The sequence below is a fragment of the Homo sapiens genome, chromosome 4 (genome assembly GCF_000001405.40).
Source record: "Homo sapiens chromosome 4, GRCh38.p14 Primary Assembly".
Classification (NCBI taxonomy): domain Eukaryota; kingdom Metazoa; phylum Chordata; class Mammalia; order Primates; family Hominidae; genus Homo; species Homo sapiens.
The window spans coordinates 79,372,466-79,400,138 of record NC_000004.12 but is presented as its reverse complement, the minus strand read 5'-3'; the positions used below and the strand labels follow the sequence as shown (position 1 = coordinate 79,400,138).

Here is a 27,673-nt window from a genome sequence, read left to right as displayed (position 1 = left end):
AGGTAATAATAACCATTTATTAGACTTCTTATGAAACTTAAGTAATGTCTTGACCAATGAATAATTTGGGGCACATTTACATACTCATACACGCATACAAATTCTATGGCCCATTAAGGCAGACACATTCTGGAAGATTCTGAACTATAATGAAATAATTCTCTGTTCACTCATGATTTTCTATTCCCGGAAAAAAAAATTGTTTACAGATTCTCTGGGGAATCATTTCTTTAGTCACAAAATGTGCCAGAAATTGGCAAGTGAACTGGCAGGTGTATCATTCTTTTCTAGATACAAAGCTTGTTACTAACTTCCGTAACATTTGTTTCCTTTCAGATTTGCCAGTTCATCCCTTCCTATCAAAGAAAGAAGGAAATTTCCTTCTCCTTCTCCTGTTTGTCTCCGTCTTTTCCCTTCTCCATTCTCGTCTTTGTCTTTTTATTTTTTTCTGAAACAAATTCATTGAGTCATATCATATGGTATTTACTACTCGTATTCACAAACATCAAAAGGATGGCAATCTGTTTAATATCCTGCAGATGAACATGCGCTAAAAAGTGGCATTGGCAATTGGGCATTTGCTGCCCACTGGGCACCAAGCAGCGATGTGCTAAAGATTTGGCGTGCTGTTCCATAGAGAAGAATGACATTCATTACAGTTGTATCAAAAACAAATTATGTACCAAATGTTTGCCTCAATAAGTACTTGGACAATCATTTGTCTGTCTTTCATTCATCCCTTCACAGCTTCTACCCTTCAGCTCTTGTCAATGTCCAGTACTTTGTATTTGTGTTCTTCTCTCATTTGTTTTTGTGAGTTCACTACAGTTTCACTTTCTTATACCAGCCCTGACATGTATTACGAGAATCATGCAATGCCCAAATAAGAGGAACAAGGACAAAAGCAAAATATTTTAATAGCATCTCATGGTGTCTCATTTTTGTCATGTAACATATAGCTGCTACTGGAGAACTGCAGGTGTTTACTTTTCATTTTCCAGATGTCAAAGACTGTTATAAGTTAACCTACAATTTAGAAAGAGAAACTTTTACATTTAAAATATATCCCATCGTAGTTCATTTTGCTCCTATAACAGAATACCTGACACCGAGTAATTTATAATAAACAGAAATGTATTGGCTCACAGTTCAGGAAAAAGGGAAATTGTAGATCAAGGGGCCAGCATCTTGTGAGGGCCTTCTTGCTGTGACGTTGCATGGTGGAAGGCAGAAGGTAAGAGGGGACTAACTTGCCCTTTTATAACAGCACCAGTCCCACTCATCAGGGTGGAGCCCTCATGGCCTAATCACCACTCCAAGTTCCTACCTCTCACAGCTGTTACAATGGCAATTAAATGTCAACATCTGTTTGGGAGGAAACAAACCTTGAAACTATAGCATACACCTCATGAATTTTAGCTGGAAATTAGAAATCACAGATGTCAGACCCGTTATCTTAAAGATTTAGAAACTGGGTTGCAGAGGAATTTATGGTTCCAGGTCCAAGGATTGGTTTGTGCCTGATAATGCAGGGATTAGAACCCAGGGGAGCTTTCTTCTATATGACACTGCCAATTTTCTTTGAAGATTTCAATTTTAAGAATAAAAACAGTTTTCTCCAAGCTCATACTTGGAGATATTTGTAAATGCAGTAATAATCACACAGGGGTTTCTCTCCAACATTCAATTAATTCCTGAGGAAAGAGGTGTGTCAGGGGAACTGAATTTAAAATTGCTTTTCTCTTCCTTCCCCTTCATTCACACTTTTAGTTCAGGCATCACTATTATCCCCTGCCTGATATGGTACAGTAAACTGATTATCTTGTTTCCTCTGTAGTTTATCCTCGACATTTGTAATATGATTCTCCCTCCTTTCTGATTCCTTCCCCTTCTAATCTCTGGCACTGTTGGATTTTAACATCGTTTTCCCCCCAGGTCCCCAGATTCATCTTGGAAAGGTTACAACCCCTCACCTTATGACCCCTAGAAAGTCCCTGGTCTTTTTATCTTAAGACAGAGCCTTCTGGGTTTTCTCATGCTTTTCAGAAAGGAAGATCCGAGCTCCAGCTCCGCATTCTCTCAAAGCCCTCCTGGTTGTTTTCATGGATGTTTCTTGAGCATCTTCTTCCCTAGTCCTTGCTCATCAGCACGATGTTTGTGGGCTCTGTTTGGTGTTGCCACAGGTGTTCTTAATCATCGCAGATCTGGATGATCAAGACAACAATTCATGACTCCAAGGAAGGGGGGTGATAAAAAGGCAAGAGGCGATAAAAAGGCAAGGCACAGAATGGGCAAAAATATTTGCAAATAATATATCCGATGAGGGATTAATATCCAGAATATATAAAGAAATCCTACCACTCAATAACAAAAAACAAAAACAAAAACAAAAGCAACCAAATTAAAAACTGAGCAAAGGACTTTAATAGACATTTCTCTAAAAAAGATATACAAATGGCCAGTAAAAACAGGAAAAGATGCTTAACATCATTAGTCATTAGGGAAATGCAAATCACAATCACAGAAAGATACTATTAGGATGGCTATTCAATTAAAAAAAACAGAAATAAGTGTTGGAGAGGATGTGGAAAAATTAAGACCTCTGTGCATTGCTAGTGGTAATATAAAATGTTGCAGTTGTTGTGGAAGACAGTATGGCAGTTCCTCAAAAAGTAAACATAGAATTACCATAAGTCAGCAATTCCACTTCTAACTATACTCTCAAAAGGAGTGAAAACATGGGTTCAAACAGATATATGTACATCAATGTTCATAGCAACATTATTCACAATAGCCAAAATTTGGAATCAACACAAATGTTTGTGGAAAGATTAATGAATAAACAAAATCTGCTATGTACAATCAATGAAATACTATTCAGCCTTAAAAAGGAGTGGGATGCTGACATTTGCTACAAAATGGATAAGCCTTGAGAACAATATACTCAGTGAAATAAGTCATACATAAAAACACAAATATTGTATGATTCTATTTATAAGAGGTGCCTGGAACAGTCAGATTCCTAAAAACAGAAAGTAGAATCATGTCATCAGATGCTAGGTAAAGGGAGTAATTATTTTTTAATGAGCATGCAGTTTCAGTTTGGGATGATGAAAAATTTCTGAAGATGGACAGTGGTGATGATTGCACAACAATGTGAATGTACTAAATGTCACTGAATTGTACACTTAAAATGGTTACAATGATAAATTTTCTATTGTGTATATTTTACCACATGAAAACTTTACTTTTTTGTGGTTATGACCCATCCAGGGCTGATATAAGTAACATCTAATACCACCTCATGGATCATGCCTCTCATGTAACAAATAACTTAAAATTATCATTATGCTAACAATTTCTAAATATGCTGTTAGCCCTTCTCCAAATTCATATATCCCCCTGGTTATTGTTTTTTTTATAAAAAATGTCCTATTCTCCAAATAATAAAGTTCAGAGGTGATGTTTTTTCAATACGCATTTTAAGATAATATTCCCTAAGAAATACGGTAATATTTGCTACCCTGAAAACTTTCCACAATCCAAGTGAAATTCTCTCATCAGTCTCTTGTTATACGAGTGTACTAGTGTAATTGCATTGAAATGAAAGTATAGTTAATTATGAACAATAGGAGAACAAAAAAAGGGAGAGATTGAAAGACCCATAGCAGAATTCTCATTAGAATGCTTCAAAAGAAGTCTTAACACATAGGGTTTATCTTAATTCAATTATTCTTGTCTTCTAGGAAAATACATGCTAATAATAAAGAACTTGACTTTGTGTGCTAAAATATATGCTCTAAAGCTAGTTTATCTTTAAACATGGTACATTATCCATAAAGCATTAGTTTCAAATTTTAGTATTCTTTGCATAATAACCTTGAAATAATATGCATTTTAGTTTTCAGAATCTTCAAGAATGTAAAGAGAGATTTTTTTCACCACAGAGAGATTTAAGCCCTTCTCCCTGATCCTTATCTGTTCCCTTTCTCACATTTCCTGGAAAAAAAAAAATGGGCATGACCCCAAGTGTGGCTCTGAAATTGTTGCTCTGTAAAGATATCCATCTGTTCCTTTCATTGTCTTCCTAGTCATATTTGACTGGGTTTGGGATGTCCAAATACATTTCTGTTATTGTCAATACTACAGAGCCAAGAACTCTTTGGACAAGTAAACTGCATTACAAGCAATTGCCTTATGCGTCCTCAAAAGAATTGCCCTTGCCGGGATCCAGAACCTTTATTGCCAGAGAGAATGTGGAATATTCAGTAGGAAAAAAACACACTTGATATTAGACCTGCTATCAAAATGACCATTTTAAAGATCATACTATGTAACAGAAAAAAAAAACTCATCAAATGTCCAGTGAATATGGCATTTTAAACTTGACCTTTCCTAATGGGCTAATATTTCAGAAATTTTTATTTTTCATGGAAGTTTTAAATAGTTTATATCTCATACATTTTACTTGATATAACTACATAAGGTTAAACAGAATATATAAATTATATAAGAAGACATAATTTCTGTTTATTCTTCTCTAGGGTGTAATCACAGGGCCAATTTTTTAAAATGCAACAGAAAATTCATTGAGCTGGAGGTTTTTTCCTAATGAATAAGCATAGACTTGAATTTTATTCTTTTTATTCCCAGAGATCTTCTGGGTCAATCTTGAATTATAACTTGCTTCTGAGTTGCTACCTCTTAAAGCACAAATATTTATAGAAGTATGTTTTTGGTAAGTACTTCTATTTTTACAAATAGAAAATTTTACAGATTTTAAATCCAGATATGGAAAACCCTAGATAGTGGTACTATATCACTAGATTCATTAATCCCATTGTCGTTTACTGAGTGTCCTGTATATACCAAGTACCGTGTCAGCTAGACATTGGGAATATGAAGATGAATAAGATAATTTACCTATAAAAATGTATAGTTTTATAGCAGAGGCAAGCACACATATTAAATTAAAATGTGATAGCCATTTCCCTGGGCTACATCAGACTGGGGATAAAACCAAAGAAAATAATAAACATTATTTCTTGAAGATGTCTCATGGGAATGCCATCTCCTCATGCTCTTCCCTTTGGTCATGTAGGGCTGCTCCAGCATTCACGCTAAGATTTGCCTTAGAGCAGAGGCAATGGTGAGTGTTCTATTCACAAGAGTGCCATTTGTTTTGCTCACTATTCTTTACACAATCTCACCTACACATCTTCCTTTATAGGTATGTAGCCTTTTTCTTCCTTTCCACATCTAAAGAACATTTTAAAATATTCATTCCAGAACCCATCACCAGAAATTTTGACTTAATTTCTTGGCATATTTTTTGAATTATAGAAGTGATTCTAATCTGCAGCCACGTTTGAGAACTGCCCTAACAGACTTCCCACTATAATAGGTTTATTGACCCAACCAACCAAGCCAGCACACAATCAAGCCCAGCCTCATAGACCTAGAATCATTAAAAGGTGGTCTGGTCCCTGGCCTTTTTCATCCCTTGCTTCCGGGCTCTAAAATTGATTCTCAATAGGGCTGAAAGAGACTGAGATGAAAGAGGCTTGACCATCCTCCAGTCTACTAAAATGGGGAACGTTACTCCTATTACTCTATGATTTTCAGTACTCAATTCCAAATAGATATAGGGAGATTGTTCAGCTATGTGAGCAAATAAATCCAGTTTCAGCTGCCAATTAGAGTTGGAATTCTATCATACGCAACTGGAAAGACTTCCACTAATATAACCTCATTTCCAGGCTAAATTTTGTGTTACCTGCTCAGAGTTCCTATAAATTATTGTACACTCCTCTAGGAGCAGTTAACAAATAACATCTTAATTACATGTTTATCTCCTTTGTCTACTAGACCACAAGCTTTCTTAAGCTAGGAGCTCTCTTATTTTTGTGTCTATGTGTATTCTTTTCCAGTAGAGTTTGGCAGAGAATAGATGTTCAATTAAAAAGAAAACAAAATGTGATGAATGGGTAAAAAATGAATAGCTCCCTAATATTTAAAGCCTTTATATTATTTCTTCAACAGAAGTAACACCTAAAATTCTAAAATGTTTCTAAAGAAACTTTTAATTAAAACACTTACAAAATAATATGGTCTGCCACTGTGGCTCATGTCTGTAATCACAGTGCTTTGGGAGGCCAAGGCAGTAGCATCATTTGAAGCCAGGAGTTTGAGACCAGCCTGTGCAGCATACTGAGACCCCATCTCTACAAAAATACAAAAATTAGCCAGGTATGGTGATGCATGGCTATAGTCCCAGCTACTCAGAAGGCTGAGGTAGGAGAATCACTAGAAGCCAAGAGTTTGAGGTTACAATGAGCTATGGTAGTGCCACTGCATTCCAGCCTGGGCAATAGAACAAGACCAAATCTCTAAAAATTACAATAATAATAATAAAATAATAATATTAATACTGCTTAGCACATCAACAGTAAATCTTAAATTCCACTTAGCTGTCTACCCCACTGTGCTATCACATTCTACAACTGAATACCTGTTGGCAAGTTGGCAGTATTTTAAGTCATGCATAAGATAGTGTAAAAAAATAAATCTAAGCCTAGAATTCTGAAGGTACCACATTTTACCCATTGTAAACACTGTGTTTTGAAAAATTGTACCTATCACTAAGTCTTCCATTAAGTCTTTCTTGATTTAAAGCTAATGGGTCAATAAAATTACTCAAACTATGGCCAGCCATTGAACAGAATAAAGTTGATTATATCATTTGTTTATTTATCTGTACTTATTTTTTTCTGAATTTTCTTCATTCAAAATGCAGCACATTTCCCTAATAAACACTTTGTTATTTTATTAAAGAATCACTGAGTATAAACATATCCTATCTGAAAAAAAAATCAATATTAGATACTAAAGTTGGAGCGATTGAACAGTGGGATATTAACAGGCATCTTGTCTGCAATATAAAATCCAAAAGTGCAAATTCTTCTATTATATAACCTATAAAATTTCATGTGTCAAAATAGGTTATCACTCTCTTGAGACAATCACAACAAGCTCTAATCCATCTTTGCTCCAATTGATTAGAAAATTCCAATGTAATGAGTACCAGCCAACTTTAAGATGCAATAGACTGTTTGTGTCCGCTCACCTTAATGCATGTGTTGAATGAAATATCAACCTTCTATATGATGACATTAAAAGGTGGGGCCTTTGGGAGGTAATTATGTCATGAGTGTGGAGCCGTTGTGAATGGAATTAGTGCCCTTATAAAATAAATGCTAGAGAGCTCTCTTTTCCTCTTCTTCTGCCTTGTGACGATACAAGGGGAAGACTTTCTGCAACTTGGAAAAGGGTTCTCAGAGTTGGAAGCTGCTAGCACCCTGACCTTGGACTTCCAGCCCCCAGAACTCTTAAGAGATAAATTTCTGTCATTTATAAGCCACTCAGTCTATGATACTTTGTTTTAGTAGTCTGAACTAAGACATACTGTTAACTAAAACTTTTTTCTAACTTTTAGCAATTATATCTTAAATTTGGATTTAATCTTGGACTTACACTTTAGACACTTTGCAATAAGTTAGATTGAAATGCATATTATTTCCATAAAGACTTAATTCTCAAATAAAATAATATATTCATACTCTAGCTTAGCCAATATTTTTGTTACAAGTATTTGATTAAAGCTGATTGAAAAATGAAGGATTTTTAAATCTTATTTAGTTCTATTTCCCCCCATTTTAAAGGAATGAAAGGCACTACTTTTATAATAAGGTGAAAATCTACCAAAAAAAATGACAAAAGCAATGAAGTATTACAAACTTTAGGTATGGGAAGAAGACAAATAAAGAAATTAGACTACACTAAATAGCTTTATTTCCTAACATGATCCACTTGAAGTGTTTTCTATTTATCACAATGAATGAAGTCACTATCCAGTCTTCGAATCCAGAAACCTGAAAATCCTACTTAATATCTCTGTTCATCTTACCACACAGCTCCTCGCTCTCTAAACTATATCCATGTTGTCATAAAGTCTTGCCAATCTTAGATCATAAATATTGCTTAAATCTATTTACGTTTCTCCAGCTCTGCTACTGATACCCTAGTTCAATGTATTGCTGTTTCTGACCAAATATTTACTTTAACAGCATCCTAACTATTGTCCTCGCATCCTTCCAGGTTTTCACCATACCACTATCCCCTTTAGAAACAAGTGAGTTGCAACTTAAATGAAAATTTAATTACTTATCTTCTCCTCTCTTTTTTTTTCACTATTCTAGGATTAATACCAAAACCTTTAATATGAACTTTGAGGCTCAGTGTGGTCTGGTCCTGCCTCATCTCCCAACTAGAGCCCCCTCACTCTCTAAGTTCTATATATATGACCTTCCTTTAATTTCTGGAATGTAGCATTTGTCTACAGTGTTTAGTTATGTGTTTGAACCCATGTGTAGCAAAGCACTGTGTACAGGCTCTGTGTATTGGCAATAAATATCTTGGTGACTGTCCAGAATGAATAAATGAATGCATGAATAAATGAAGTATAATATTGCAGGATAATGTCATATTAAGTGGATATGTAGAAGCCAAACTTCTGCTCTGCCATGCAAAATACATATTTTAAGTTGTTTTCTTCAAAAAATAAGCCACTAGTCAGCACCATTGCATAACATATAAACAACTCATTACAAGTCAAAGCAATAGCTTTGATTCCCACATGACAGGGCATATTCATCTGCACTGTGATTAGGAATACAAAGGACCCTTACATATCATATGCATTAATATTCATTTACATTAATTAATTAATATTAAATTAATATTCATTTACAGTAATCTGTAGAAAATATCTTCACAAAGATGTTAAAAAAATTTACACACACAGAAAAACTCATATTTTGACTGAGAAAGACACAGACGCATTGGAAAGTAAAAATAACTCGAATAACAATTTCTTTGAAAGAATACAATTTTAAAATAAATGTGTGGTTCAGGCTGTTTTCTGAATGAGATGCTGAAGTGATTCTGAACTGAGAGAGTTGTAATCTAATCTGGTCCATTTATCCTATGACTCAGTGGATAAAAATCAATTGTGTGGAGGAAAGGAAATTAGAGGAAGGTTAAGTATCTACCATGAATTACACAATGTATTAAGGATTTAATATATATTATCTCTCTTAATCCTTGCAGCGACCTGGAGTGTTACCTACTGTTGTCTACAGTTTACTATTAGGAAACAGAGCCTGGAAATTACACAAATATTAAGGAGCAAACATTTTATTTGTTTGACTTTTCTAACAACATCTCTTGATTTCCTGTGACTAATTGCAGAGCTCTCCTTTCTGTATTTCTCCTTTTAAATAACTACTATAGATTATTTTAACCTTTGGGGATTATTTTCCTATACAGATTTCCAAGTTACTGTCCCCTTCTAACCCTTATTAGAAACTGTACTTTAGTGTTTTTTTGGTAGCTTTGTAATCTTCATTTCTACCATTCTCTGAATGAGATGATTTACCAAAGAGCAATTACTGATTTAAAAGTATTTTTTCTTTTGAAATTTGTCATTTATCTGAATAGTAAATGCTGAAATTTTAAAATTTTGATTTCATCAAAAATGTTTGATGTAACAATACTCCTATACATCTTTTGTTGCCTATCTTTTAAATTATATTTAATATAGCCTACCTCCAAAGACCATATGTTAAAGGATTATTTCTGGGCCACTGGTCAAATTTCCTGTATTTTAATCTTAACTTCTCAAAATAAACTATAAATTCTAAAAAAATTACTTTAAAACAAAAAACTATTTATTCTTATAATACAAAATATTTAGACAAATGGTGAAACATTCTGATGTCTTTTACACAGTGTAAAGCATTAGATTTTTAGATTTTGGCTTAATGTTATTAAGTCATAGTCAATCATAGGGATGATTATTTTGTTACTTTTCGATGAATAGTCTCTACTTTTAGAAGCAGTCCTGTTTGAATTAACCAATTAAAATGTCGACTCCAGTTTTACACAGCCAGTAACTAATCATCTCACTTCTAGCTGTCTTTCTGATTTTTATGTAAGAAAATGGTTTAAAAAAACTTTTATGTTTTAGTAAAAATAACTATCATTATTGAAAAATAAATCTTCCAAATCATCAACTTTTTGTGAGCACTAATTTTTTGTGGATTAATGGAAAGGTGATAGGAATAACAAATTTAAACTTGAAACTGTACTACCTATAAACTATTGTCAATTCAAACTTAGATAAGGAAAGACTTTACTCCGAAAAAAAAAAAAAAAGACTATTGCAATAGGGAAAATGCTCCAATCTCAGAAATCTCCAACCATCTCAAAATTAAACAGAAAAAGTATTTTTTTCCCCATAAGGTAAAGAAAGGTATTATGAATTAAATGTGTTCCTCCAAAAGATGTGTTGAAATTCTAATCTCCAGGACCTCAGAATGTGACCTTATTTGGAAATAGGGTCATTGCAGGTATTTAAAAAATGAGGCCATACTTGAGTAGTGTGAATCCTTAATCCATTATGACTGGTGTTATGATGAGACTGTGTAGATAGGAGGGAAGAATGCCACGTGAAGTTGGAGCAGATCCTGGAGCTCGGTGTTAAACATTCGATCTCAGTTTGCCCTGGTTCACTGCATACCATTTCAATCTGCAAATTCAATTCCTTTTTTAAAAAAATTATTATTTATTTATTTACTTACTTATTTTTATTTAATCTCTTTTGTTCTCTTCTTTTGGGGTACCAGTTATGCATTTATTGGATCCCTGTGGATGGTATTTTATTTCTGTTATCAAGTACTTTGAGTGATTTCCTCAAGCCTATTATTATTTTGTGTCTTTGACTTTTTTATTTGTATTTATTTTAGTTTGTCATTCTAATATAGCTTTCATGTTTCTAGTAATGTTTATTTTTGTCTTCCATTTCTATCTTAAGCTCTGCCTGATAACTTTTAATCTTTTGTTGCTTTATAATCTCCTTTGTATCATGGTGTCTCCTTTTATAGCTCTTTTTTCTCTGTATGTTTGTATATATGTGAATGTATGTATGTGTATTATAAATATTATATGTGTATATATTACAAGCAAATGTAACTATATGGTTTGTAATTTCTTTGAAAGTATAAACGATTACTTGTCAGATGACTGTGTCTTTTTTATAACTACTTTGTGATGTATGTCTAACACTTATTGAGTATTTACTATTTGCAGACACAGCTCTAAACTCTTAATGCTAATTATATGATTTAACATAAATGCTTTATTTGCTTTGCATATACTATTGTACTTCTTTTTTTATAGAGATGGGGTCTTGCTATGTTGCCCAGGCTGGACTTGAACTCCTAGGCACAAGGGAAACTTCTACCTCAGCCTTCCAAGTAGCTGGGACTACAGACTTGCCCCACTGCACTCAGCCACATACTTTTTTTTTTTTTCCATATTTCTTCCTAATTATTAGCCATCTTTGAAGGAATAGGATGAGTTACTTGGAATTATAAAGCAGTGCGGCCAGGAGGGGATTGTAAAGTAAACTGAAGTTTCAGCCGACTCTATTGGGTGTGTTGTCTTGTTTGTCTGTAACACCTCCTTCTTTCCTCAACCAAGCTCAATCTCAGACCAAGGGTTTGCAAACTCAAATGCCTACAAGCACTATGTATACATAGGCATTGCAAGTGTATGATAAGCTTATGATAGGCAGGTCTACTTTGTACATTTAAAAACATTCTTTTTGTTAAAAATTATATACTAAGGTATTTTTCTCAATATTCTTACTCAAATTTCACTAAAAACAATAGTTACAAACAAAAAGATTAGCCATACGCACACACACTCAAAAAAAATTTAAAAAGCAAAAAAACTATGAAGAATTGAGACAGCACACTGAACTGATCTCAGTGAAATAAGGGAAGCTATCCCAATGCTAAACCAGACTATTAAGTACAACTAGCAAATGTTGAGAAGTCATCAGGAAGCTAAGGCAGCATGCTGAGAAGCAACACAGCCCACATCTGAAGAAATAGAGCATATTTCTTCCCTCAAAATAAGTACCTTCATGCTGAAAGACATATCCAATAATCTGCATATCTATATTTATATTTTAATTCTTCAGTGCTTATTCTTCCTATTGCAGTAGTTTGCATAGTCACCTCTTTGGAAATCATATTTCCATTTTTTTTAAATAGGGAGAGTGAATTATACCACACACTATTAATTCTACTCTACTTATCCTTATAAAGTTTACCTGTTATCTACTAGTGTATTAGTTGTCAATTTGTAGGTTTCAGAGTTTTTTTCACATGTCAACACATGGAAGATACATCGTGTGTTTTCTTGACAAATTGGAGAGAAATAAATGAGCATAAATTTTCCTTTCCACTTTGGTGAAATATTACTAATTCAGAGCAACAACACTGATATCTAATGTTGATCTCAAGATTTTATGGCAGTTACTATGTTTTGATTAACTTTTAAGCAGTGTGGCATCTGAATTGTTTGTTGACAAATTCAAGTTTACTCTTCTATAGATTGATGCTTTCAAATTATGGGACCCATGTTCATTGCAGTAAATCTTACTGTTATATAATAAATAAAAGTTCAAAACAATGAAGTGACCAGCAATATTGAAACTTTCAAGTGTATTATATAGTCATTAAAAATAATGTTATTAAAACATTTAATAAAATGTAAAATGTTCAGAATATAATCCAAAGAAAGAAAATGGATACAAAATCATATTTAAATAATCTCAACTTTAGAAACAATATATAAAAATATACATAAAACAATTCAGACAGGAAGTCTATTAATCTGTTAATTGTGCTTCTCTCCGAGTCATAAAATTATGGATAATCTTTAATTTTCTTCATTGTGTTTTCATTGTATCTTCTAAATTGTCTCCATTAGATATGGATTTTATAATAAGAATAAATAAAATTGTATAAGTAGTGATTTATAGAAGAAAAAATTGGAAAAAAATAGCCTATGGTAACAAAAAGTTTTGGAATTACTAACTTAATGTCACAAGAAAAATCAGCAAGGCAAAAGAAGAGGTAAATTTATTATTCCATATCTTTTTTACAAGATGACAATGACTCCTGAGACTCTTTTTAGATACAACACTGAACAAATCATGGTTACTTGACCAGCCTAGTAAATTGTTTAGTCTCAATGTGAAAAGAAGGACATGATGTGCATCCTCTGATTCCAAAAACAAAGAATGGTAAAATGAATAAAATTAATTAAAATAATTAAAGAAATTGTAATTTTTTAAACGTTTTCACTTTTTCCCCCTTACATTTTGTCTTTCAGTATGTTGAATAAAATACACTCAGGTAAACTTTTGGGTTTTCTATATCCTCCAACATTTGGGCCAAAATTGCTAGTAACAACAATAGTAACAATAATATTAATAAATCCAGTGTATAGAAGCACTTGTGAAATAAAAATCATATTATACAATTCAGTTTTGACTTAATAAAACAACTAGAAATTGTTAAATACAATATCATCTCAAGTGAAACAATGAACACTTAATAAAGAAATAATTTAGTTCTTAATTGAAAGTGTCATAGAATGCCAAATACGGATTTTGTATTGGAATAAGTGAGCCTTTCAATTTAATAGAACTGTTATTGCATTTTTCATGTTTTAGGTGAAGAAGAGTTCCCTAGGCTCAGATTTTAAGCATTGTCAACCCTCACACTTCAATGAATAGATGAAATTGTAGATGAGACCAAGAGTAAAAGTTAGCACTCCTGTTAGCCTTCTGTTTATTATTCTGCTTAACATCATTCTGGATTAGTTACAGTTACAAAAAGTTCTCTGACAAGTATTTGATGAGTTATCTTTAAACATCCAAGTATTTCAAAAAGTCATCTAAACTGTATTTCTGGTAGACCAGACACCCTTTAGTAATGGTTGGTTTGTAGCTACTTGCTTTTAAAAAAGTATTTTGAGCAATTTCACTGTGAAAACTGTATGTGCATATATATATATTCCAGCATGAATTATTCTCTAGGGGAGACTTTACCTTAAAGCATTCTGGTTTGTTTCCAAGGCTCTTGTTTCCATTCAGAAAGAAAGGTGAGGTCAGGAAGGGAACCTCAACCCCGTTCGGCATTAGGGTCTTTGTCAGCTATCACCAACAGCAGGGTTTATGACAAATGAGGAGCCAGGCTTCCAGCTAAATTTCAGTTTAGTTATTTTTGTTTTAATGTATGTGTGAATCAATTAATCCTGTCATAGAAGGGCATCGTAAACTGTGTGCCAGAGTTAATGAGTCAGACATTATCACATCATTACACCAGCTGGCATAATGTAGCATGTGTTGTTTGTCATAATATACACTGCCATGCTTAACAACCATTAATTGTTTACACGAGCAGTCATATTTTTCTTCAAAGAAGCTTCAGTGACTGGATAATATTTTGAAGTCTTTTTAAGTGAATAACTGTTGCAAGAAAAGGATATCTTCACTAAAGTAGTCTATAATGTAAGAAACTGAATCAAGGGGAAGACATTTAGATGACGGTGAATGTCTTCAGGATCAAGACATTTCTTCTTTTCAAAGAAAACCACCATGCTGCAGAATCAGCTAAATCCTAAGACTGATTTACATGATTGATTCAACTATTGTCAAGAAAATGTTGGTGAAGTAGAATTCCCTAGTGGTACATTTTTTTTAGAGGATCAATGAGGCCCATACCTAGGATACCTGTATTACCACTAAGACTTTCTGATAGAAGATACAATCATGGATTTACAATTTTTTTAGAAAGCATTATAAAAAGCTTGGCTATTTTTGTTTTCTTGGCTGATGAAAGGCAGCATGTGGTCATCACAGCCTAAAGTTATAGTTTACCAGCTCTCTGTGGATTGGTTTCAGGCAACTTCTGCACATTTTCATTGGCCATATGGCTTTTTCCAGCCAAACAGGAGCACCACAAGTTAAGGTAAAGTTTCCAAAAGAGTCATAGCATAAATCATGGTAACCTTTAACCCAGAGCTGATTTTCTCACTGGCTATTTGGTCATAGGTTAATAATGTCTCAATTAGCCAAACAGATTTAATAAAAAAATGAATTTACTGTAAACACAAATGATTTTTACAACGAACAAGCAAGTAAGAAATTAAACTAAATGCAAGAAATGAACACAAGGAGGAACTAAACTAAATGCTACTTATGAAAAAAGATCTGATAATGTATATGAAAGCACTTTGCAAAGTGCATACACTGCTATTGCACTAGAAAGTGCTACTATAATTATTGCTACGATTGTAACCAGTTTTCATGAAAACTGTTAAAACTGCTTATGATTATTCCTATGATTATGGTAGAAATCAAGAAAAAATAGCAATTTTATACAAATCAATTCCATAGAGTTTCAAAAATATTTTACATTGAATGGAAGAAGAAATAGTGATATTATGATGTACTGAAAATATTTCAAAACACTATTTTTTTACTTTTTTGGTTTTTATTGATATATAATACTGTACATATTTATGTGATACATATGGTATTTTGTTACATGCATACAACATGAAATGATCAAGTCAGGGTATTTAGGATATCCACTGTCTCTAGCATTTATCATTTCTATGTGTTGGAAACATTTCAAATCCTCTCTTCTAATTATTTGGAAATGTACAATACACTATTGTTAATTATGGTTACCCTACTGTGCAATTGAACATTAGAACTTAGTTCTTCTATGTAACTGTATCTTTGTTTCCATAACCTGCCTCTCTTCAGGCCCCATGCTCTCCAACGCACACATCCTTCCCAGCCACTGGTAATTATCATTCTATTCCCTATCTCCATAAGATCAACATTTTAAGCTCGCATATATGAGTGAGAATATGTAATATTTCTTTCTGTGTCTCTTTTATTTAACTTAACATAATGTCCCCCAGTCCCACTCATGTTACTGCAAATGACAAGATTTCATTTTTTTATGGCCAAATAGTATTCAATTGTGTGTGTGTGTGTATTATCCTTATCTATTTATTTATCCATTGATAGATGCTTAGGTTGATTTCATATCTTAGTTAATGTGAATAGTGTTGCAATAAACATGAGGATATAGGTATCCCTTTGACATGCTGATCTTTATCTCTTTGGATGCATATCCAGTAGTGAAAATGCTAGGTTGTATGATAGTTCTATTTTTAGTCTTCTGAAAAAATCATATAGATCTTACTGTGATCCATAATGGCTGTACTAATTTACACTCCTACCAACAGTTTAGAAGACTTCTTTTTTTGCATTCTCACCTGCATCTGTTAGTTGTTGTCTTTTTGATAGTAACTATTATATACCTCAGGTAAGATGATATATATCTCATTGTGGTTATGATATGCATTTCCCTGATGATTAGTGATGTTGAGCATTTCTTTGTGTATTTGTAGGCTACATGTATATCTTCTTCTGAGAAATGTCTGTTCAGATCCCTTGCCTGCTTTTAAATGGGGTTATTTGATTTTTTGCTGTTGAGTGGAGTTCTTCATATATTCTGGATATTAGTCCCTTGTCAGATGAATAGTTGGCAAATATTTTTTCCTATTCAACATACGATAAATGTGTAGATTTATCCTATTCAAATATTTTTTCCTATTCAACATAGGATAAATATATAGAATGTTGTCCATACATTCTGTTTATTGTTTCCTTTGCTATACAGAAAATTTTTAGTTTAATATAGTCCCATTTTTCTATTTTTGTTTTTGTTACCTATGCTTTTGATGTCTTAGCCATAAAATCTTTCCTAGACCAATGCCCTGAAGTGTTCACCCTGTTCTTTTTCCTCAAGCAATTTTATAGTTTTAAATCTTTTGTTTAAGTCTTTAGTGTATCTAGACTTGATTTTTGTATATGTTGAGTGAGAGGGGTCTAGTTTCATTCTTATGCATATGAATATCTGGTTTTCCCAGCAACATTTATGGAAGATGGTGTGTTTTCCTCAATGTATGTTCCTTATGTCTTTGTCAAAAATCATGATTTTAAATAAGTGAATTTATTTCTGGGTTCTCTATTCAGTTCCATTGGTTTGTGGTGTTTGTTTTTATGTAAATACCATGCTGTGTTGGTTACTACAGTCTTGTGACATATTTTGAAGTCAGATAGTGTGATGCTTCTAGCTTTGTTCTTCTTTCTTAGAATTATTCTGTCTGTGCAGGCTCTTTTTTGTTCCAAATAAGTTTTAGAATTTTTTTTTTAATTTCTGTGAAAATGTCATTGTTTTTTTGTTTGTTTTTTGTTTTTGTTTTTGTTTTTTAAGATGGAGTCTCACCCTGTCACCCAGGCTAGAGTGCACTGGCGCAAACTTGGCTCACTCCAACCTCCACCTCCCAGGTTCAAGCAATTCTCATGCCTCAGCCTCCTGAGTGGCTGGGATTATAGGTGCCTGCTACCAGGCCCAGCTAATTTTTGTATTTTTAGTAGGGATGGGGTTTCCCCATGGTGGCCAGGCTGGTCTCGAACTCCTGACCTCAGATGATCTGAGGTCTTGGCCTCCCAAAGTGCTAGGATTACAAGCTTGAGCCACCTCGCCTGGCCAAAAGTCATGATATTTTGGTAAGAATAGTATTGAATCCATAGATTGCTTTGAGTAGTACTGTCACTTTAATGATATCAATTCTTCTAATCCATGAGCATGGGATGTCTTTCCATTTATTTGTGTCCCCTTCAATGTTTTTCATCAGGGTTTTATAGTTTTCTTTCTAAATATTTTTCCCCTCTTTGGCTGAATTTATTCCTAGGATTCTGTGTCTGTGTGTGTGTGTAGCTACTGTAAATGGAATTTGCATCCTTGTTTTCAGCTAGGTTGTCACTGATGCATAGAAATGTTATTGATTTTTGCATGTTGATCTTGTATCCTGCAACTTTACTGAATTTATTTACCAGACTTAAGAGTTTGAATGGGCGTTTATTGGTATAAACATTCCTCTTTCCACTGCTTTTGCTATATCCCATAAGTTTTGGTATGTTGTGCTTCCATTTTCATCTGTTTCAAGAATTTTTTCTATTTCCTTCTTAATTTCTTCATTGACCCAATAGTCACTCAGGAGCATGTTATTTAATTTCTGCATATTTTTAGACTTTCCACAATTCTTGTTATTGATTTCTAGTTTCATTCCATTGTAGTCTGGAAAGATACTTGATATGAATTTAATTGTTTTAAATTTTTTGAGACTTCTTTTGTGTCCTAACATATGGTCTGTCCTGGAGATTGTTGCTTATGCCATTGGGAAGAATGTGTATTCTGCAGCTGTTGGATAAAATATTTTGTAAATACCTATTAGGTCCACTGGGTCCAAAGTGTAGTTTAAATCCAGTGTGTCTATGTTGATTTTCTGTCTAGGTAATCTGTCTAATGCTGAAAACTGAAGCCCCAATTATTACTGTATTTTAGTCTCTCTTTCCTCTTTGATCTAATAATATTTGCTTTATATATCTGGGTGCAAATTATATCTGCATGGAATGTCTTTTTTCATCCTTTTACTTTCAGTGTATGTCTTTACAGATGATGAGTTTCTTATAGGCAGCATATAGTTAGCTCATGTATATTTAATTCATTCAGCCAGTCTATGTCTTTTAAGTAGATAATTTAATCTGTTTACATACAAGGTTACTATTGATAGATGAGGACTTATTCCTGGTTTTTAGATTTTTTTATTGGTATATCCTTTTTATATCTCTTGTTTCTTTCTTTCTTACTGTTTATCATTGTGGTTTGGTGGTTTTCTGTAGTGGTAACATTTAACTCCTTTATCTTCCTCATTTTCGTTTGTTCTGCCAGGGAGTTGTATACTTTTGTGCATTTTCATGATGGTAGATACCATCCTGGTAGATACTACTTCAAGGTGTAGGATTCCCTTATGCATTGTTTGTATGGCCAATTTAGTGATGAATATCATGTTTTCACTTACCTAGGAAAAACTTTACTTCTCTTTCACTTTTGAATTACAACTTTGCTAGGATATAGTTTTCTTGACTGACTTTTTTCCCCAGCACATTGAATATATCATTCCATTCTTTCCTGGCTTTAAGGAAAGAATTTCTCCTGCTGAGAAATTTACTGTTAGTCTGATAAGAGTTCCCTAATAGGTACTTGATTTTCTCTTGCTGTATTTAAAATGTTCTCTTCGTTTATGACTTTTGACAGCTTATCTATAATTTCCCAGGGAGAAGAACCTTTTATGTTGTATCCTTTGAGGATCTGTAAGCTTACTGTATCTTGATGTCTAACTCTCTTGCTATACTTGAAAAGTTTCCAGCTATTATTACTTCACTAAATATATAATATTATACATATGGGGGCAGGTCCTTGGGTCCCTAGGCAGTGTGCATGACATCATTAATGGCAGTAGCAATGTTGGAACAACCCTTGAGGTCCCAAGCAGCATGCATTGGTGTTAGCGGTGGTGGTAATGAGCTGGACAGGCCATTTCCCAAGTGACATATGTGGGTCGGTTATGGTGACGGTGGCAGCAGGCTCTGTGGGCCTGTCCTCAAGCCCCCAGTAGGGGTGCATGGTTGCTAACTATTGTGAACAAAGTGGGGTAATCTCCAGCCCTTCAGACTGCATGCTTGGATGCCAGTAACAGATGATCTAGGTTGTTGTTAGGTCCCTTGATGGTATGCACATGGACCTAGGGTGACCAGCAGAGTGGGTGCAGTCCCCAGGCCCTTGGCTGTGCTGGGCAATAAGGGAGTCAGTGCCAGGCAGTGTAAGTCTGTCCTCACGTCCCTCTGAAAATGCACACAGGAGAAGGCTGTGGGGGGTGGGGGTGGGGTGATCCCCAGGCCACCAGACAGCATGCTCATGTGCCAGCAGCAAAGTTGTGTCTTTTGTCAGACCTCCTGATGGTGCATCCACATGCCCAGAGTGACAGATGCCACTGGACTTCCTCCAGGTCCCCAGGCGGTGTGCTTGAACACCGGGAGGGGCAGCACAGGCACAGGTACAGGCTTGGAGGGCAACTCAGGGCCATTCCCAAATCCCTAAGAGCATGATCAAGTGGTGGCAGTAGCAGTGGTAGGTAGGCAGAATCTGTCCTCAGGGCATATGGATGTATGCTGCAGCTCTGCTACTATGGGTGGTGGGGTTGCTGTCAGTGGCAGTGGTCCCCAGCAGGTGGCTTTCAGGCTGTGTGTTGCATTGCTTTGGCTCCCTTAGTCCAGAGGCCAACCTCTCCAGTGTGCTGTTACTACCTGTTACCTGGAGTGTAGGACTGTGTGGGCTACAGCGCTGGGGACCTGGCAGTACTCACTGCCGGGTCCACCTTGTGTTGTGCCACGGCAGCCTTCCAGGTGGATATTAGGGGAAGTCACTAGGGCTACAGGGATGTGAAGATATGGGGGCTATTCCCCATGTCAGTATACAGTCTAATGGATGCTAGGCTCTCAAATTGGTGTCATGTTGCAGCTGCTTGGGTCTTGGGGGACGTGGGACCTAACATGAGCTTCCTCTCTGGAGCAATGCCATCTCATGAACTCCAAGCAGCTCCCTGTAATAATCTTGTGTAATAGGGCTTGTGAAGGCTGAGAGGGCTTTCCCATGGCTAGGATTTCAGGAATCCTCAGTGGGAATGTGGACCACTGGGGATACGTCACTTATCTCACTCTGCCTCACAACCAGGATCTTCTGTGGGCTCCCAGGGTATCCCAGAGGGCTGGCTGCCTTGCTTCACTCTCCTTCCCTGCCTCAGGTGTTTCTTGAAACCTCTCTGCTGAATTCCAATGTTGTTTTTCAGAGGATCTATTTGAACTGATTATTTACTCACTGTTTTGGTTCTTCTTTATGGAGAAACCAAGTGCTGGGTGCCTCTAGTCAGCCGTCTTGAAAATCTGTTTGAATATTGGAATTTTGATGCCCTAATGTAACAAAAAAATTAAAAGTGAAAAGTATGCACAATTCCCTTACATGTTTTGATTATCCATATTAGGTAAAAATATTTCTATACAGCCAAATTTTCTCTGCAACAGTTCAACAGTTTTAGAATGTGTGATAGTGAATGCCATTAAAAATAAGTCTTTGCCTTTCAATTTATTATCCAAAAACATCCCAGTGATAAAGTTAGCACTAGAGATCTTTCAGGGTTGACAGAGCAAATAGAAATATGCAGAGAGAACGAAGTGGAATGGTAAGCAATCGTGTTTTTGACCCACAAAATAGTAATTTTATATAGTTCAACCTAATATCAGCAGTAGAAATTATCTAAACCACACTGAACTTAGAATCACTGGCACTGGGAGGCCACATTGGTTTTCTTAAATAGAATAATCCATGAAAAAAGGAGTAATGAGGACAAAACAGTCCTTTAGTTTGGAAAAAAGAAAAAAAGAAAAAAAACTCTAGTAGTTACTCAAGATGTATCTCACGTCATGGATGCAATAGAAGGGGAAATGTGAGACTTCCTTGGAAGTGAAGCAAACAAGATTCAGGACTCTTCCTTCTCTTGGACTTTTCCACATTCTGTTCCTTTCTCCGGAATATTCTTCACTCAGTCTTCTGAGTCAGTGACTTAAGCCTCAGATTAAATGTCACCTCTTCAGAGATGTTCTTTAACCATACATTTTAAAATTAGTCCTCCCTAGCCCATTCTCCTCCACTGCATCTATTGTTTTTCTTCACACACACATCTCAATTTGGACTATATACTTGTATCTTTGCTTATGTCTCAATTGTCTATCTCTCCACACATGAATCTAAGTTTAAGTAGGACAGGAACCATGTTTATAAATGAACAATAAAAATGTGTTACATGAATTAGCTGGTTAAATCTACTTCTTTTCCATTAATATATAACAATCTCTGATTTTTTTTTCATTTTAAGTATTAGTAATATCCCAATAAGCATAATTTCATCAAATAAACATAATGGAAAGGTACAAAAGTAACTTCAAATAATTAAATTGCACGTAAATAATAAAGAAGGTCAAAAATGAAATTACTTTGCAAACTATTGACATCATATACTGTATAGTGTTATTCTTGTTGGAAAGATATTTTGTCATGTTCTACAAACACTATACCTTCCCATAAAACCATCAAGACCTATTTTAACTTTAAGGATACATATAAAAATTTAAAGAGAAAAGAAGCAACCACATTTGACCAAGTAGATATGTGAACTTATTGCTTGGGATGGAAAAAAGGTAAAATCATTTGCTCACGTCATCACTGATTTGCTGAGGGTACTGATTGCCTGGCTACCTCCTATGGGATACAACTCTAGGAGGAGCATCATCTAATATTGCTGCATACATAATGCTGGGATGTATTTCAGTCATGAGATGTTGCTCATATAGCTGCTCTTCTGAAATTTAAACAAATTGGGTAGGTCATACAGATAAACATAAAAACATACATAAAAGATAAAAGGAAAGAAAACAAGGAGAGAGGAAGGGAAGAGAGGAGAGAAAGAGAAGGAGGGAGGAGGAAAGAAAGGATCACTCTAGAAATAAATTAAAGCAGAAAAAAATACATAAGTAAATGATGTTATTTATAATTTCTTGAGAACTATTGAATTAAGAATTCAATATTTGATTAATTCAAGAAAACAGAATACTGATTTCAGTGAATCTGATTCCTGTCTTTCCTTTTTAATTTATTTTTCTATTTATAATTGGCACATAATAATTATACTTATTTACAGCAAACAATGGGATATTTTAATGCATTTATACATAGTATAATGATCAAATGAGGGTAATTACTATAACCATCACCTTAAACATTTAGCATTTCTCTGTAGCAACAACTTTCTATTAAGACATATGGATATTTTTTAACTGCTCTAGTAATTCTTGCTAGTCAACTTTAATCCTGGTATGTTAATTACTGTAGTTCTTCCTTAGACATTTTTCTTAATTACTCCTATGTTTATGAAAATATTTTTATTGTAATTGCTAGAAAATCATTATACTTTTAGAGGAATAGTGAAAAGTTGATCTGAACTAGATTAAAAACTATTTCACAGGCATAACAATTTTCAAAATCTTAAACTTTAAGGTGAAAAAAGTGGCATATAGAGTCCTGTTCAGCAGTCTTTTTGCTTCTTTATGAATCTCAAATTTATTAGCACACTAAATTATGTAAATTGAATAAATATCTAATCTTATTAACAGTTCATTTTTTTCACACAAGTTATAAATATGTGGAAAAGAACACTAAGATGAGAGTTTTAGGCTAATAGAAGAACCCTGGGATCGAATGTGCCCAGTAACCATGCATCTCTGGAGTTAGGTTATCACAGTCAGCACACTGCTTTTTGCCTCATTATTTGTGAAACTTAGAATAACATTCTGAATTCCTGACAGACTTTCATAAAATTGCTCTTCCTTACTTTTAAACTATTAGTATCCCATGGACAGAAAATAAAGTAACACTATTTTTTTTAGTAAAACCATAGAAACACTTTCTATGTCATTCTCAATTATGAAAATTATGGCTTTTTGCCTCATTATTTGTGAACCTTAGAATAACATTCTGAATTCCTGACAGACTTTCATAAAATTGCTCTTCCTTACTTTTAAACTATTAGTATCCCATGGACACAAAATAAAGTAACACTATTTTTTTTAGTAAAACCGTAGAAACACTTTCTATGTCATTCTCAATTATGAAAATCACAAGTCACAACTTAGCCTCTGAAATCAAATTGCCTCAAAATTGCCACAGAACTCTTTCAATAGCGGATGAATTTAGTGGTTCTAATTTCTAATTTTCAGAACCACACATTATGTTTTCCAAGTAAATAATTTTGTTTTCAGGTCTATTTCTAGTTTAAGTTCATGGGACAAGCCTGATAATTGCCAAATTGTGACTTTGATTGAAAGGGTACATATCTCAGTGAGCGTCAAATTGAAGTCATCAAAACAACAATATGGAAGTTATCTTCATCCAAGCACTCTCCTGCCTCCAGATCTTTGCATCCTCCCACCTAGAATGCTCTTCTCAAGATAGCCAGAGCTTCTTCCTCATATATATGTGTGTGTGTATATGTATATATACACATATATGTATGTATACATATATATGTATATATACACATACACACACACATATATATGTATATATATACCTACATACATTTATACATACATATATAGGTATACATATTTACAAGTACATACTACATTTATAGATCATGTTTATCTATCTACTCTCACTGGAATGTAAGCTTCATGTAGGCAGGGATTTTTTTTTTAATTCTTCACGGCCATTTTCCTAGTATCTAGCAGTTGTGCAACTAGTTTATTGAATGTGTGAATGAAAACATGAACAAAATGAATAAATGAATGAACAAAAATGTCTAGCAAACAAAATCATACCCTTTGACGACAAAATATAAATATCTAGGAGACGTGTATAACACTGGTGATTTTGTATTATGTTAGAAGACAACAAACAATAATACATGTATATTTTGAAAGAAGGACTTGTTAACACCAACTTTGTAGGGAAAAACATCTGAAAGTTATAATTGACCACAGGCAAATATGACTGCAAACAAAAGCCAAAGACTAATTTTCATTCATTATTTGAAATTAATCAGACCTGTGTTAGAGACTTGTATTTTATGTATAAAAAAGGTCTAAATACTAAATACCAATAATCCACTGAACTAATAAGTGTTATTAAAATTTGATATTCATAAATTAAAATTAGTGTGCCATTAGAATTTATCAAATATTTAATATTCTGCTAAGAAGTCTGGTTGCCACACAATAGTCGGCAATGTCAGAAAGCTCTTACTGGGCACACACATACAAATAGTTGGAGTTCCCACTATTTCAGTGGGAAATTCTTTGATTTTGATGCATCATCAGTATTATTCTTTCTGTTTAACTTAAATTTATGTTACTTTAGGCTTCACCATAGTCAATTTTGTATCACTTGTGCAAAGGTTGGATGGATATTTTCATAGAAAGTCTTTCTGTCCTTTATGGGTTTTGTCATATAATTATTTAATAAAAAGGTTTTAAAATATAAACCAGTGTTCATTATAAAAAAACTATTAAAAGAATGAATAAGCAACCCACAGAGAGGAAGAAAATATTTTAACATATATACCCAACAAAGGACCCAGATCCAGAATATATAAAGATCTCCTGTAAATAAAAAAGAAAAACATAAGCAACCCATTAGAAAAATGGTCAATAGACTTTCACAGATGCTTCACAAAAAAGATATTCAGATGTCCAATAAATAGATGCAAAAGTGTTCAGCTTTATTAATCAGAGATGTAAATATTAAAACCACAATATAATATCACTACACAAACATCAGAATGGCTAAAATTAAAAAGGCCTTATATCAAGTGTTGGCTAGCATATGGAGCAATCACTCTCATATACTACTGATTTGGGTGTAAATTTGTATAGCAAATTTAAAAACTGTTCAAAAGTATCCATTAAAATGAAACATATGCATACTCATGACTTAGCAATTCCACTGCTAGGTGCATACAGAGTAGAAATAGATTCCTACATATAGTCACAAAAAATACATTACTAGAATGATCACAACAACATTATTTCATAGCAGCACTATTTGTAATATCCCAAACATTGGAAGCTATCCAAATGCCCATCGACAAAAGAATAGATTAAAAATTGTCATATGTTCACACAATGGAATCTTACACAGCAATGAGAGTGAATGAACTACAACTGAATGTAATGACAGAGATGACTCTCTCAAACATAATTTTGGGCGCAAAAAAACAGACATAAAAAAGTACGTATTATGTTATTACATTTATATAAAAACATACAAAATTAAACTAGGCTGTTGAAGTCATGATGTTACTTAAATTTGGGTGGCAGAATGTAAGTAACCAAAGGGGACACAAGGGGATATCCTGGATGCAAATAATTTGGTTTCCTTATTTGTTTCTGGCTATTTGTGAGTATTTAACTGGTGAAAATTTGTAGAGCTGTACACCTATAATGTGCACTCATCTGTATTACATTATACTTCAATAATGTTCTAATATCTCAATAGGCAGAACATGTAAATACACAGCCTAACCACCCCTAAAGTACATGTTCGGTGGCATTTCATGGTTATCATCAAAGGTGTTTTGTTTCATTTCGTTTTGTTTTGTTTTGTTTTGTTTTGTTTTGTTTCACCACTGGAAAGTGAAGTAAAGAGGTATTTAATTCTGCTTCCATGGCAAAATAGCTAATTATCAAGGTTACAGACGAAAAGTCTAAAGGTAACTCCAGGGCCCACTTCATGAGTGTGAAACCCATGCAGTCACACAGGGCCCCGTGATTGCTTTAATGACCTGCTGTCGCCATCTTGAAATTAACAATATTTCTTCAACACGGGGCCCACATCTTTATTTTCCACTTATCCTTGCAAATTATGTGACAGTCCTGGGTAACTGATTTACTTTTTTTAAGTATCAGAGGTAGTCTCTGCATTCAAAAATTAAGAAAAAATAAGCTTATATTATGATGAGAAATACTTTGATTGGAAATAAGAAAGGCCTGGCACATCAGTGAAATAGTTCCTTACATATGGATATTCAAACAGATGCACAAAAATGAATTAATAAAAGAAACAGACTAGGGGGATGAGTAATGACAATTTCAAAATGATTATTAAAAAATGACTATTGGGTAGTTTTGTGGAAAGACAGGCAATCAGGCCAAACAACATGGCATATCCTTCTTACCCGGATAATTCTATGAAACAATTCAACAACTTATCATTAATTTGTCTTAGCATATCAGTAAAGCTTTCTTCTTTTCTTTTCTTTTTTTTCTGGAGATACAGTCTTGCCCTGTCACCCAGGCTGAAGTGCAGTAGTGTGATCTCGGCTCACGGCAACCTCTGCCTCCTGGGTTCAAATGATTATCCTGCCTCAGCCTCCTGAGTAGCTGGGACTACAGGAGCCCAACACCATGTCTGGCTAATTTTTGTATTTTTAGTACAGATGGGATTTCACCATGTTGGGCAGACTGGACTGGAACTCCTGACCTCAAGTGATCAACCAGCCTCAGTCTCCCAAAGTGCTAGAATTACAGACGTGAGCTGCCGTGCCTGGCTGGAGTAAAACAATTTTTTTTACAAAAAATATTCCCTTGGCAATATTGAAAATGTGGATTAAAAGTGTGAGTTACTTCAAAGGCATGAGACATTCATTCATCAATCCATCTATCCTTTTAATCATCCATTCATTCTTCCACTCACCTATCTACTCATCACATTGGAAGGAAAAGAAATACAAAAATAAACCTTGCCTGGATTCCATCTTAAAGAAGATACAACATATCTATAAATAAATGTCAGACAAGATAGAAAATATGTCCTGAGAGATATATTTGTTATTTAAAAAATTTGGTGGAAAAGCAATGACTTCAGGCTGGAAAAAGTCAGAAATGCTTTTATAAAAAAACATAGCCTGTATATTGTAATTTGAAAACTAGATAAGATTTTGACGTGCACAGAAATTTGGAAGATGTTTTATTCTTGTTATTTCTTTAATACCTAACTCACGTATCCTCTGCTCTAGGAAAATTGCCCTCACTCTTTTCTACTTACCATCATAGCTAGACTGAGTCTTAGATTTACATTAAAAAAATGGAATAATTTTAAGGACAAAAACAAACCTATAACTATACATCATGAATTCAGATAAAATATATTATACACAT

General features: G+C 34.2%; 1 long non-coding RNA gene across 3 annotated transcripts; it reads right to left on the bottom strand.

The window, feature by feature from the left end:
- Positions 1–932: 932 nt before the first annotated feature.
- Positions 933–25,185, bottom strand: LOC105377300 (uncharacterized). Of its 3 annotated transcripts, XR_938920.2 has the most exons (5): positions 25,080–25,185; positions 22,178–22,320; positions 20,785–20,875; positions 1,974–2,204; positions 933–1,026 (listed from the first exon to the last, which is right to left on the bottom strand). It is a non-coding gene; the product is annotated as an uncharacterized LOC105377300 (long non-coding RNA). The 3 variants fall into 3 exon arrangements; XR_938919.2 differs by lacking the exons at positions 20,785–20,875; positions 22,178–22,320; positions 25,080–25,185 and adding an exon at positions 14,027–14,295; XR_938921.2 differs by lacking the exons at positions 20,785–20,875; positions 22,178–22,320; positions 25,080–25,185 and adding an exon at positions 6,100–6,184.
- Positions 25,186–27,673: the final 2,488 nt, after the last annotated feature.